The sequence below is a fragment of the Homo sapiens genome, chromosome X (assembly GCF_000001405.40).
Source record: "Homo sapiens chromosome X, GRCh38.p14 Primary Assembly".
NCBI classification, from domain to species: Eukaryota; Metazoa; Chordata; class Mammalia; order Primates; family Hominidae; genus Homo; species Homo sapiens.
The window spans coordinates 24,635,765-24,649,740 of record NC_000023.11 but is presented as its reverse complement, the minus strand read 5'-3'; the positions used below and the strand labels follow the sequence as shown (position 1 = coordinate 24,649,740).

The following is a 13,976-nucleotide window of genomic DNA, read 5'->3' as shown; positions in this document are numbered from 1 at the left end:
GAGGATTAGGAGGAGAAGAAGGTGAGGAAGGGAGACAGAAGATATTGGGAGTCTAAAGGAATGGCCTAGGCTCTTGGACAAGAGTTCACAAGGACTCAGCTAGACATCAGAACTCTTTAAAATGAGCAGGTGAACAGGTGAACCTCTCATTCTGGAGAGAGAATTAGGTGACCAATTAGGAACCAAGGGGTGGCTCAGTGGCCAAGAATACAGTGGGGTTTAGGTGCTTTCCAATGTGAACAGTGACTCTAAGGTAGTGGTTTGTAAACTTTAGCGTGGGTCAGAATGCCTCCCAAACCAGGAGGTTTTGATTCAGTAGGTCTGGAGTGGGAAGCCAGAATTTCTGATTCAGTAGGTCTGGGGTGGGGATCCAGAATTTCTGACAAGTGACCAGGGCTGCTGCTGCACTTCTTGGAGAAGTACACTTTGAGAACCACTGCTCTAAGGCAAAAATACATATATTGAGATTAGAATAACCATGTCATTTGCACGTCACCCAGTACACGTAGGAAAAGGGCTCCTAAATGTAACACAGGGCTTGGCTCTTCCAGGTGATGAGCTGGTAGAGTTAAACCTGCTGCTGGAAGTGTTTTGTGCTTCCAGGAGGGCAAATAGGGTAGGAAGCATCACTGGAATTCTCACAACACTGGAGTTCTGTCCTGTATAGGTCATAATACTCTTAAGTGATGTTATTCTGACTTAAAGGGCCAGCATCTAAAACTGTCAAACTGTAATTCTCTGCTACAGAATCCATTTTCTTCTTCTTTTAGGACTAGCCCTCTTTGCTTATTGAGGAGTAATAAAAATAATGTCCCCTTATATTAGCATAGCACGTTCTAATTCAAAAAGTGCAATGACATGATATCTCATTTGATCTCCTTTCTGTGATGGAGGCAAGCCCGGTATTTTTATCCCATCCTTTGGGCTACTGATTCTCAAAGTATAGTTCCCAGACCTGCAGCATTAACAACACCCAGAAACTCTCTAGAAAAGCAAATTCTGACCCCACCCCAGACTTACTGAATCAGGTCCGGGGTCTGGCAGGGGGCCAATAATTCGCATTTCTAACAAGTTCCCTGGTGATGCTGATGTTGGTGCTGCTGGTCCCAGACCACACTTGAATGAAAACCACTACTGTAGATAAAAATGAAAGATGTAGAAGCCCAGGGACTTGTCCTAAGAGGACTCCTGCCTAGATCCTTTTCTTACTACACCTGCTGCATCCCTGGTCCCTACGCGCCCGCCCCCACCACCTCGCCCTTCGCAAAAAAAAAAAAAAAAAAAAAAAAAATTCCTTCAAATCCCAGCTGCATTATTTTAGAATTTTGTGAATGTGAATACCTGTAAAATGAGGATAACAATAGGATCTACCTCTTTGGGTTCTCACAAAGATTAAACAAGAACTAGGTAAAGTACTTAGCACCGTGCTTGTGCTTAATAAATGCCAGGGATCATCATGATTTTTTATTAATATTAAAAGTGACAATTCACAATGAATACCTTGGTAAGTTCTTTGGATGTGTGTCTTCAGAATGCTCCTCTTAAAATGTGAATGTCCCTAGATAATGTAGACATTAAAGCACCTGATCGTTAACATTCCATCTCTGATTGCCATGAGCATTTGGCTGAGAGCAGGGTACTTCGGAAATGGGACCCACGACTGGTAAAGTAGGAACCAAGAGAAAATAGAGCAGTGCATGGAACAGTGTATTGAAAGGCACACAACAGCAAGACTTCTTGAGGAAACTTTGAATAGCTGGGGAAGGGGAAGAGTGGCTGACAGAGGAAGCAACTGCGAAAGGGCAGCCAGGAGTAGGAGGCAGGCTGTTAAAGACAATCTACCTCCTTCAAAGTTCCCCCTAGGGCAGCCCCAGGGGAGGGCTCCAGGGCTACACCAGGCCACGAGGGGATCTGCCAGGGTTCACGTTGCATGAAGTCCAGGGGTCGAACACTCAGGTGCCCATAGTGAATGCCCGGAGGGGCCCTCCACTGGCAATTAGCACAATGAATTTGGGCTCAAAAGTGGCTTTGTCTTCAGGGTGACTCCTATTTGGCAAATATCCTGACTACAGCACATCATGCACTAGCTCATCCCAGGGACATGGTCCTTTATTAGTGGAGGTCTGCTATGTTGTTTCTCAAGGCGTCCTAGGCCCCTCAGGAAGCGGTTTTATGTTATCTGGGTGGCGCAGCCCGGGTCCCGTGCCCAGAGAGGACGGAGACCTTTGCAACTGAATTAAACAGAAGAAACAAAAGCAGCAAGTTCGGGCCCGTGGGTACGGAGGGCTAGCCAATGGGGCCCGGCCGCTTCCCGGCGGAGTGGTACTATGATGACAGTAGCCAACCAGCGCGCTCTATGCAAATGAGATACTGTATCCCGCACCAGCCGCTTCAGTGTCGTCTGGTTGTTATAGTGATAAACTGAGGCCTTGCCTCTTGGCTTCTGGGAGAGAGAGAGAGAGAGAGGGGCGGGGGGTAACCTCTTTACTTCCCCTAGGGAAGACAGAAAGAAGGGGAGAAGAAGCGGGGGGATGGGTGGAGGGTAGAGGGGAGAAAAATACGTGACAAAGAAAACATTCTCTGCCTGGGAGGAGACTCTCTGAGGGTGTAGAGCTAGAGGGAGCATTCACTGGCCATGCCAGTAGTTACCACTGATGCTGAGTCAGAAACAGGTATCCCAAAATCCCTTTCCAATGAGCCTCCCTCAGAAACCATGGAGGAAATAGAGCACACATGCCCACAGCCTCGACTGGTAAGTAAAGACAAAGGATGGAAATGTATGCGTGGCTATGGCATAAAAGAGTTCCTTATGCGCCCGCAGCCAGCGAGGAAAACGATGCTTAGAGGATTTTCATGTAAATGAGAAGAGCGCTACCGCCTAATCCTTCTCAGCTGTTTATACTTAGCTTCTATACCGGGCGCTGCTCTCAGTTTACAAAGCGTTATTGTATTGGCTGGGTAGGAAACGGGCTGCTTGGGATATGCTGTGTTTTTGTGCTTCGGGAGGAGGGGAGGGCCTTTTTCCTTTTAGGTGTGTTCTTGTCTGAAGGTAAAAAAATCCTACAGTGCAATTTTAAAATGGTATTCTCTTTACCAAGCTCGGGAAGAGTCCCTTGTTAAGTTTTAAATTCTAGCTAAGGAATGCTTCGTTCCTCAACTGATTTTGGTGCCTAATGCCAATTTGGGGGGAAAAAAATGGAAACATGGAAGCAAAACTTCCCCATCCGTTTGAAAATGTTCAAAATAAATAAATAAATAAATACATAGGAGTCCCTCAATGATTTAGTTAGAAATAATACGCATTTAAAACGAATTGTAAAACATTTCCAGAGTGTGCTGTGAGGGTTTCTCTTCAGGTAGTGGAAACCTGGGGAGCTACATTTATTTAGAAAGGGGTTGCATGCCTTTAAGAATGAAAGTGTGGAAACGGGGTACTGAGAGCGTCCTTCCGCCTCCGTAACTGCACCGTAACTGCTCTCCCAAATTTGGTCGTCTCTCTATCCCTGGTCATGATCTTTTAGGTAGATGTGAAACTTCGTTCCCAACCACCTCAGCATGTGTCCTCAAGGAATCAAAAACACGCATGGGTGGTGGGTTTTCTGTGGTCCGAAGTCTTGTGGAACTTGGGGAGACCTCTCTTTGAGTCCCCCAATCCAAAAGACACACTAGTTAAAGCTATCCTTTCCTTTAGCGATTTCCCTCAAGTTAAAAGGTGGAATATTTTGATTGGCTGTGGAGTTTGACCCTGGGAAGAGTTTTTTAAAAAAGGATTTTGTGATGTAGCATTTTCTGTGAACCTGCAAAATTAGGGCTCGCAGATGAGAAGGCCAACCCATCATAAAACTGTTATTTCTTAATAAGAGTTAATAAGGGTTCAAAGGAGGCTTAGAACAACTTCCTAAAAAGCACAAATACAGAGGAAGTTATATTAGAGCCCTGTGGGCTTTTTTCCCCTATGCTTCTATTTTTAAAAATGTTTTCTCTTAGGGCAGTTTAATAGTAACTGTGCCCTAGCACTTTAGCCACTTACTGAATGACATACACAGTGCAGTGTCTATGTTCTCATGAGATACAAACCATCCCAATAAGTTTGTTACTAAGGGATTCCTTTGAGTCACTAAACAACTTATGGTTTAGCATAAAGGAAAATGACCACTAAAAGCATATTACAAGATTATCATATGCACATATACATATATACACATAAATAGAGAGAGAGACTCACTCTGTTTTCCAGGCTGGCCTCAAACTTGAACTCCTGGACTCAAGTGATCCTCCTGCCTCAGCCTCCCAAGTAGCTGGGATTACAGGCTTGTGCCACAGCACTGGACCAATATATATATGTGTGTATATATATATATGTATATACACACATATATACATATATACACACATATGTATATATATTTGTGCCCATGCTTACCCAAAAATATATTTTTTAAAGTAACCACAATCTTCAAATTTGCATCACATACCTTCCTGACAGAGGTAAAGGGCAGAGGAGAGAAAGGCGGCATCCAGCTCCAGTTTGTGCATCATTTCAGTCTCTTTTGCCTACTATTTTTCCTTCCATTTTTACCTCTTAGCTATTCTGCTTCTTGATTGCTTCTGCCTGAGGGAGATGGGCAGAGAAAATTAAGGGAAAGAAGAAAGTTCAAGTTACTTTCTTGTTTTTTTAAGATGGAGTCTCACTATGTCCTCCAGGCTAGAGTGCAGTGGCCTGATCTTGGCTCACCACAACCTCCACCTCCCAGGTTCAAGCGATTCTCCTGCCTCAGCCTCCTGAGTAGCTGGGATTACAGGTGGGCAGCACCATGCCTGGCTAATATTTTTTTGTATTTTTGGTAGAGACGGGGTTTTGCCATGTTGGCCAGGCTGGTCTCGAACTCCTGCCCTCAGGTGATCCGCCCACCTTGGCCTCCAAAGTATTGGGATTACAGGTGTGACCCACTGCACCTGGCCAAGTTACTTTCCACTTTCACTCGTGACAGCTTATTCCAGGTGGTAACTCACAAGAACCACGCAAAGCTGGCAATGTGCTCTACACCCTCACCTCCCACCCATTGTAGAAATAAGGAAACTGAGGTTCAGAGAGGGTAAGTGACTTGCCCAAGGGTCACACTGCTTTGAAGGGGGCAGAGCTGGGATTTGAACCCAGAGCTCTACACCGGAAAAGTGGAAGATCTTTCTTCTATAACATACTCATAAGTGAGATACATTCCCTTCCCATCTTTTTGGCAGTTCTGGTTTCGTGTGTGTGTGTGTGTGTGTGTGTGTGTGTGTGTGTGTGTATCATGCACATGCATAGGTATGATACAGATGTACATAAGTTGAACTGTTGAAGCACCTGCTTTGATTTACTTATGATACAAAATTTTCCACGTTGTTCATCATTGTCATGGGCTACTGAAATTTGACTCTGTTTAAACAGGGGCTTGCAACCAATTTATAAAACACTACTAAAATTTTCAAATTGCCTTCTCTCTTATTAGCTAACTTTGATCACTGTAGGGTTATATTCTAAATTTAGATTTATACTTTATAGCCTAACTTTCCTTTGCTAATGATCTTACTTTAATAACTAAGGCACATGCTAACTACTTAATAAAAAAGTTTGTTGATGAAGAGAGTGAGCAGCAAGTGAAAACATGAAATTAGCATTTCTTTCTCTGGTTTTTAGTAGTTTCTGTTGATCTTGTAGCTTTGCTAGTGTCTTCATATTTCAAATTGTATAAATTCTGCATTTCTCCCAGCACCCAGGCATATAGCTCCAAATTGTATGTGGGTCACTGACACCACAGCCATCAACAGAGTGTGGCTACTGAGTTGCTTAACTAACTATGGAAAGTGTATGAAATATTTGCAGGGGGCCTGTTTAGGATTGAAGCTCCACACTTGGATTCTCCTTCAGAGGGCAGGCTCCTTCTCCTAGTTGCTGAAATGAAGTGGGGAGCTGGCATACGTGAGTGAATAAATAGACTTTAAAGCAGTCTATATTTTAGATCCCTGTAAGTAACAAATTGATAATAATATTGCAGATATGATTGAATTATATTTCAAGGGGAAGTTCTTCTGCCAGGAAAACTTGTAGTTTCTCTACCTGCCTTATTCTTCATTAGAGGAAAATATAAGAAAGGAGACGATTAAATAGAATGCAGTAACTCTGATAAAGAAATTAGAAAAGAAATAACAAAAGCATTACCTAGGTTTTATGATAGAGCCTATATTTTAGGAATATAATCTTACTACTCTTACCATTTTACCATGGTGCTCTGATTTGAGATGCTTCTGAGAACTCTTTACATTGTTACAATGTTTACTCTTGATTCTTGACTTGTTTTCAGTTCTTTACTATTTTCCTGATTAAACATGATGCAAGGTGACTCATCAGCTTGACTGTCAAGATGAGAAACTGAGTGGCCTTGGGTGATATGATGTAATAGCCCTTCTTGGAAATCTAACTCCTGAGATACAAGGACTCCTCTGAGCAAGGACTGTGTCCTCATATCTTCCCAGCCCTCAGATTATGCCTAGAAAGATCCTCTGGGCTCAGCAGGTGTCCCAGAAGCCCTTTCTAACAAGGCCCAGCCACCCTGAAAGTTGTCTGCTTGAGAATTTGGTTAATGACCTTGGACAAGTTCTTCTAGGGGTGCATTCTGTTGTCAGAAGGAATTGTAATTCTAGACTGCAATAGTCACTTCCATGAAGATGGATATACTATGGATCAACTGAGAAGGCCTTGGAAATAAAAAAGGGTTGGTTCAACATGCCACATTAGCAGGAGGAGTTCATTTCGGGTTTTACTTCAAAGTGGAGCAGTGCCAAGAGACTGCTGTCTTGCAGAAGGTGCATTATGTCAGTTTGGAGGTAGCATGCTCATCTGCTAGTATTCAAAAAGATGACCAGATTTCCAGAGACATCAATGGCTTCCTTTGCTAATATTGCCATCTACTTAGCCACCCAGAACAGCATACATTTTAAAAGTGAAACACTCTTAATGCGCAATATTGGCGAAAATAAACAAACGTGAGCTTCCTTGGGTATTTACTGTGGTCAACTGGAATTCTGCCTAAGGTTATTATTAGGTATCTTCCTGCTGGTCTCTATCCAAATGCAACATCCATGTCTTGCAAATTGATACTAGTCAGGTGTATTTAGCATGGAATCAATCAATTAGTTTCTTCCATTCTTTTAGGTTTGTTCTCTCACTACCCCTCCAACCCAATTTGCCTAATGCTAAACCCTTATGGAAGAAATAAACCTAAATCAAATATAATAGGTAGCTTCTGTGTTTTATTTTGATGATTTAGCATATAGAAATCAAAAGAGTGCATGTATATGTCCTCAATCAGGCAGTGAGGAAGATTTAAAGTATTTAGCAATGCAGAGTTTTGGAAGATAACTGAGAGAAAACTGAGTCTCTTACCAATCCTTACCAACCCCTACCATCCCCTTACCCATGGGATCCACAGTCAGCCAGGTGGTTAACAACTTCCAGACACAGCAATGCACCAGGTGCTGTGGAGAGAAATAAAAGAAGTGAATCCAAACCCCTTGCCCCTAAAGGGGCATTTCCGTTTAATAGAAGGTAGTAGTTTGGTTTGTGGAAGCATGCCAGGATGCTGAAATCCCTTAAGAGAGCTTTTTTGTAAGTTTGACTTTAACATATTAGACTTTCTTAAAAGCTATTTTTTATCCATTGAGGGGAAGTACTTCCCAGCAGGGAGGACTCTGTTAACCCAATCCCCAAGTTAAGAAAAGTCCCTGCATTTGAAGAAAAGGTTTTACTTGCTCACCCCAATACATATTTTGGGACATGGAAAGGATCAATCCATTTTTGAGTGGATCTTAAGCCCCCATTGTGGGTCACATACTGGCCTAGAACTCTAGAACAGCTCTGCCCAGTAGAAATACAGCATGAGCCACATGTGTAATTGAAAATTTTCAAGTGGCCACAGTTTTAAAGGTTAAAAAAGGTGAAATTAATTTTGTATCCAAAATATTATGTCAGCATGCAATATAAAAATTATTAATGAGATCTTATATTATTTTCTTCATACTAAGTCTGAAATCCAATGTGTATATTGTGCTTGCAATACATCTCAATTCGGACTAGCTAATTTCAAGTGCTCAGTGACTACATGTGGCTTTACAGGGAGCTTAGACACTTGTCCAGCCCTGTTAGGATCAGTTCTGAGGACCTACAATGATAAATACTTTTCATGTTGCACAGTTCACGTATACATATATGTAGTCATAACTAAAACCAAACATCACTTTTCCTTACTTCATGTTTTGCACTCTTATACTTTCTATGCTATCCTATCTTATTCTATTTCAGTTAAGAGACTGTTGCAGTAATCTAGATGAGAGTTAATAAGTTTGAAATTATAGAAGGACAGTGGGAAAGGAGAGAACTAGATGGATATGGGAAACACTAAAGAGATAAATGCCCCAAGATTTGATAACTAAGTCTGAGCATGGGGCAGGTTCAGTGAAAGATCAAGGGGCCAGGCGCAGTGGCTTATGCCTGTGATCCCAGCACTTTGGGAGGTGAGGCAGGTGGACCACTTGAGGTCAGGAGTTCAAGACCAGCCTGGCCAACCTGGTGAAAACCCATCTCTACTAAAAATACAAAAATTAGCCGGGTATGGTAGTGTGCTCCTGTAATCCCAGCTACTTGGGAGGCTGAGGCAGGAGAATCGCTTGAACCCGGGAGACGGAGGTTGCAGTGAGCCGAGATCATCCCTCTGCACTCCAGCCTGAGTGACAGAGCGAGACTCCATCTCAAAAAAACAAAAAGATCAAGGAAGGCACAGTTTGTTTTCTGGCTCCAACTAGTGAGTGCCATCACTGAGATGGGTGTGCCAGGGAAGTAGAGTTTGTGAGAGTTATGTCTGAGGTGCCATGGGGACTTCCACTTGGAGGTGTCTAGTTCATGTTTGGTTGGGGAACTCAGGAGAGAGTTCTGAGCTGGAGATATAGATCTGGGAGATAGCATGGAGGAGATGGAAGTGAAATTGAGGCAGTGAAATGGATGAGAGTGAAATTGAGATAGTTTCTGGACTGAGAAGGAAGTGGATGGAGATGGTTACCTAGGAAGAGTGCCTCAGGATAATCCCACTACAGGGCTAATTCTAGAAAGTAACTGACCCTGAGCCATCCTATCAGGTTCTTAGAGGGGGAAAATAGAGGAGCTGTAATTAAAGCTATTAGACTCCTCCTTCTATTCATCTGTCTCTACATGAAATCTGGTTAAGCTAATCTACTTTATCCCAGAATCTTCCCAGGTTGGAACCCTAAGAAAGACTACTTAAAGGGCCAATAGAAGAAGGATCATGAAAAGAAGACAGAGAAGTATTTCTCAAATAACTGGGAGATCAAGGGACCAAGGGCAGGGTAAGTTTCATGGAGGGAATGTCCAATAGAATCAAATGCAGTAGAGAGATCAAATGAGTTAAGGAGGAAAAGTTTCCTTTGGATTTAGAAAGAAGAGGTCAGTGGTGATGTTTCAGTGAAGTGGTGGGAGCGGAGGCTGGATGGCAGTAGATTGAGGAGCCTATAGGTGGTAGGGAAGTGGAAGCTTGACTGAGAGAGGAAGCAGATAGAATGTACAGTACCCAGAGGTGGACAAATCAGGGCTTAGGGTTACTAGAGACTAGCTTTTCCCCTTCCTTCTTTCGTTCCTTTCATCTTCCCTCCCTTCATCTTTTTTTCCTTTTATTTCTCATTCCTTTCATCCATCCAAGATGTCAGATCTTTTGGTTGGCTCATTCTTTTAAGATGATAGCAACTTGTGCCTAAATATAAATGGGAAAGAGCCAGTGGGAGAGGGAAGGGGCGATGGTGATGGGGACAACTGATGAAGGGAATGTCTCTTAGGCTGGACAGGTTGGGCTCCAGTGCACAAGTGGAAGGATTGGCTTCAGGGAGAAAAAAAGACACCTCTCCCACTGTAGTGGCAAGGAAGCTGGCAAGGATGGTTTGGGCAAGAACAAGTTATAAGAGGAAGGGTACTGAAAGTTGAAGGCCTCTCTATCTGATAGCCTGTTTTTCATCTGTGAAGGTGGAAGCAAAATCATGGTGGCTTATTTCTGGCTAGTACGGAACTATAATTCTGGTATATCCTGGGTAGTTGAGTCCAGCCCCAGGATATGTCCTCTCCTGAGGCCTCCAGGCTGTGGGTAGGGAGAAGTGGAAAGGCTGAGATGGTTCCTGATGAGATGCAGTGATGAGAGCAAATGGATCTGCTTCGTTGTGGCCTCTGGGACTCCACACCAATGCCCATCAAGCCAAGTCTAGATCTGGCCAGGGAGAGCTGAACTAGCCCACGGTGAAAGGACAGGGGGCTGTCAAGACAAATGTGCTAAAGCTTGGTCTGGACTTGCTGGAGCCCATAGTCTTGTTCCAGTGTCAGTTTTGCCATTGAATTATTGTGTGCACTTAAGCAAATCACTTTCCTCTCTGGATTCCATTCTGTCCCCGACAATGGATTGGATAGATCCTTAGAGTGTGATTCTAGCTTTCATTGCCTTGGAACTTGGTCTACTGCAGTATGTTCTGTTTGAGCTCATGCTCCTATCAAAAGTCTGGGCTACCCCATTCCTCACCCCCTGTTGGTTTTATCCATTTGGGGTAAAAACAGGTTGCATGATCTTATGGTAAGACACACTGGCTAAATATGAATAACAAATGTTCACAAGCACTTTGAAGTTTTACATTGATGTTGTACAAACCACTTCTGCTGTCTTCTGTTTTATTCTTCAGATGCTTTCTCAGACAGGTTGAATGTATTCCAAATCATATATGGAATGTTCTATTCATTGTTTCGGGAAACCTGTGTTGAATCTCTTCTTAATGTGAACAGTAGCCTCCTAATTTATCTATTTCATACTACAGAAGTTTGAAACATTGGGCCTTCTTTGAGGCATGGCAGTATGGGCTTGAACTATAGAGGCCTTTCTTAATCAATGTTGTCCATCTAAGCTTGCTACTTGGGGTTAAAGTCCAGCAATGGGTCAGGCTGTAGTCCCAAAACTCTTACATCTTTAGCTGGTGCCCCACACAAAGCTTCTCAGTGACTGTTAGGGAAATAAATGCAGGAAAATAATTATCCCATCAGATCACTGGGGGGAAGAATGAAAAGGAAAAAAAAGCAAGGAAGGTAGAAACAAACTAAGTCATTGCAAGCTAGGCCTATTTTCTTCCAATAATCTCCCAGGTAACAGCCTCTACCTTGCTAGGATCTGATTACCCGTTGCTGGCCTCAGACCATAGCATTATTGTTTTAACATTCCTACCTTCCTCTTTATCCCAGCATGAACTGGGTTGTATGGGAGGCTGGGAAGCTGACCTTGCTTGGGGATAAAGAGACAGTTTAGCACTCAACAATCTTGAAGGCAGACTTGAAAACACAGTGATTAGAAAATAAAGCAGTGAGCCCTGGTAGTGTGCGCCTGTGTAATAGTGTGCAGGGCCACACGGGGCTAGCCTATTGAGCAGAATTCATTTTCATATAATCTCCTCCCTCCCGCCAAAATCTTTGACTTGGTGTTTTTGTTTTCTACTCGGTAATTCATGCATGCTGAACCTGACATCAGGATGCTGAGGGTTATTTAAACTGTCATTTAAGAAAAATAACAACGGTAATAGGTTAATAGAAACATCATGAATGATGTGTACAGCCTATTGCCAACCAAATGATGTTGAAAGCCCATTCCTGGTACATGCAGGCTTCTGTGTTTCATCTCTGGTGTGCCTAATATTGACTGTAGGCACAGTCACATAATAATAAATTCTATTGTACCTCCAAATTGTTTAGTTATAAGGTAATTGTTCTATATGGGATGCAAGGCTAGTGGTCTCACTCCTTTTTCTCCATGGGCAAGTCGGGGAATTGAACAACCATTCACAGTGCACACTGTATTGGGCACTGTGTTGAATGCTCTATATGTATTATCTCATTTAATCAGGCTGCAGACCCATGAAATAAGCATTACTATTCCTCATGTTATAAGTAAGGAAATAAATAATCAAGTAATTTCCCAAAGATCCAAAAAGATACATATGTATATTTTTGAGATGAAGTCTTGCTCTGTCACCCAGGCTGGGTGCAGTGGCATGATCTCAGCTCACTGCAACCTCCGCCTCCCAGGTTCAAGTGATTCTTCTGCCTCAGCCTCCCCAGTAGCTGGGATTACAGGTGCACGCCACCACGCTCAGCTAATTTATATATATATATATATATATTTTTTTTTTTTTAGTAGAGATGGGGTTTCACCATGTTGGCCAGGATGGTCTTGAAGTCCTGACCTCAAGTGACCCTCCCGCCTCGGCCTCCCAAAGTGCTAGGATTACAGGCGTGAGCCACCGTGCCCGGCCCCAAAGATCAAATATTAACTGATTAAGCTGGGAGTTGAAATTAGGTTTGTCTGACTTCTAAAGCCCCTATTTCCATGACACATAGTTCACAAACTTCAGTGAGCAGAGAATTGCCTGCTCAAGCTCCCAGGTGATTCGGAAGCAAGATGTGCCTAGATGCACTTTTAGAGATGCTTTATTTAGCCCTCCCAGTCATATCTGCTGTGTTTGGGAACAGGAGTAGAAATAAATCAGATATCTGTGTTCTTTGTAGTAAAACTAGAAATTCAATGTAAATATTTTGACCCAGCAGTTGCATTCCTAAGAAATTTGTACACATGGCCACCAAAAAAACTAGTATTAGGATGTTCTTAGCAGTGTTATTCATAATAACCCCAAACTGGAAACTACCCAAATGCCCAGCAGAAGCAGAATGGATTAAAAAAATTGTAGTACACTCACACAATTTAATGCTGGGTAGCAGTGAGATTGAAGAATCTACAACCACCTGCAGGAATATGGATGAATCTCACAAATGTAACATTGAATGAAAGAAGCCAGATACAAACTAATATGCGCCACATGATTTCATTTCTATAAAATATAAAATAAAATAGGCAAAGCTCATCTTTGATGTTAGAAATCGGTGTAGTGGTAGGAGCATGGGATGGACGCTGGAAGTGTTAGGTTACGTGATATGTGGCTGTGTGTACTTAGCTTGTGAAAGTCCATTGAGCTGCACTTAGGATATGTGTACTTTTCTTTTCTTTGAGACAGAGTCTCACTCTCACCCAGGCTGGAGTGCAATCGTGCAATCTTGGCTCACTGCAACCTCCGCCTCCCAGTTACAAGCGGTTCTTCTGCCTCAGCCTCTTGAGTAGCTGGGATTACAGGCATGTGCCACCACACCCAGCTAATTTTTGTATTTTTAGTAGAGACCAGGTTTCACCATGTTGGCCAGCCTGGTCTTGAACTCCTGACCTCAGGTGATCCACCTGCCTCGGCCTCCCAAAGTGCTGGGATTAGAGGCATGAGCCACTGTTCCTGGCTGATATGTGTACTTCTCTATAAGTCTATTATTCTTTAGTGCAAAGTTTAAAGATATTATTATTCACAATAATGAAGAAAGGGAACACTCTACATTGTATTTCCCATTTCCAAATAATTCTGGTGATCTAATAAACTCTAAGGAAAGGCATCACATCCTACTTACAATTATAGCTCTTGGCTGCTAACAGAGCTTCAAAGTGCTCAGCCCTTCCAGGGGCCAGTATATCCAGCCCCAAAGAGAGTCTAGTGAGCACTTGAACGAAACACCTTATGTCTAGGACCAGTCCAGCCCTAGTCAGGTAATCTGTGAATTAAAATCCGTGGCCCCCAATTGTGTACTATGCCTGGCCTCACAGTCAGACAGGTTGTGGGCTGAGGAAATGGATGGCATTGGTTAGGTAGCAAGAGTACCTCAGAATAACCCTGCTACAGGGTGAATTCTAGAAAATAGCTGACCCAGAGCCTTTGCATCAGGGTTTGGGAAGGGGAAAAATAGAAGAGCTGTAATTAAAGCTTTTAGAATCCTCCTTTTATCTGCCTATTGCTACAGGAAATCTGGTTAAATT

At 42.9% G+C, this 13,976-nt stretch overlaps 1 protein-coding gene across 4 annotated transcripts in view, besides 1 other annotated feature; it reads left to right on the top strand.

Moving 5' to 3' along the window:
* The window catches only part of PCYT1B (phosphate cytidylyltransferase 1B, choline), a 114,801-nt gene that overhangs the window by 23,147 nt on the left and 77,678 nt on the right, over positions 1-13,976 (top strand). For 2 of the 4 annotated variants that reach the window (NM_001163265.2, NM_004845.5), the window contains exon 1: positions 2,394-2,752. The exons of 1 other annotated variant lie outside the window; for it this stretch is intronic. In NM_001163265.2, the coding sequence (NP_001156737.1) occupies positions 2,636-2,752 (117 nt within the window). In that variant the 5' untranslated portion in view covers positions 2,394-2,635. Of the gene's footprint in view, positions 1-2,393; positions 2,753-9,279; positions 9,400-13,976 lie in introns of those variants that run through there. One more of the 4 variants, XM_017029977.2, reaches the window with a different exon arrangement.
* Positions 2,149-2,198: an enhancer, noted in NCBI's record as "active region_29506". NCBI's record gives its function as "activates an Ori minimal core promoter by ATAC-STARR-seq in GM12878 lymphoblastoid cells {active_cell/tissue: GM12878}" and the evidence as "EXISTENCE:reporter gene assay evidence [ECO:0000049][PMID:35858748]".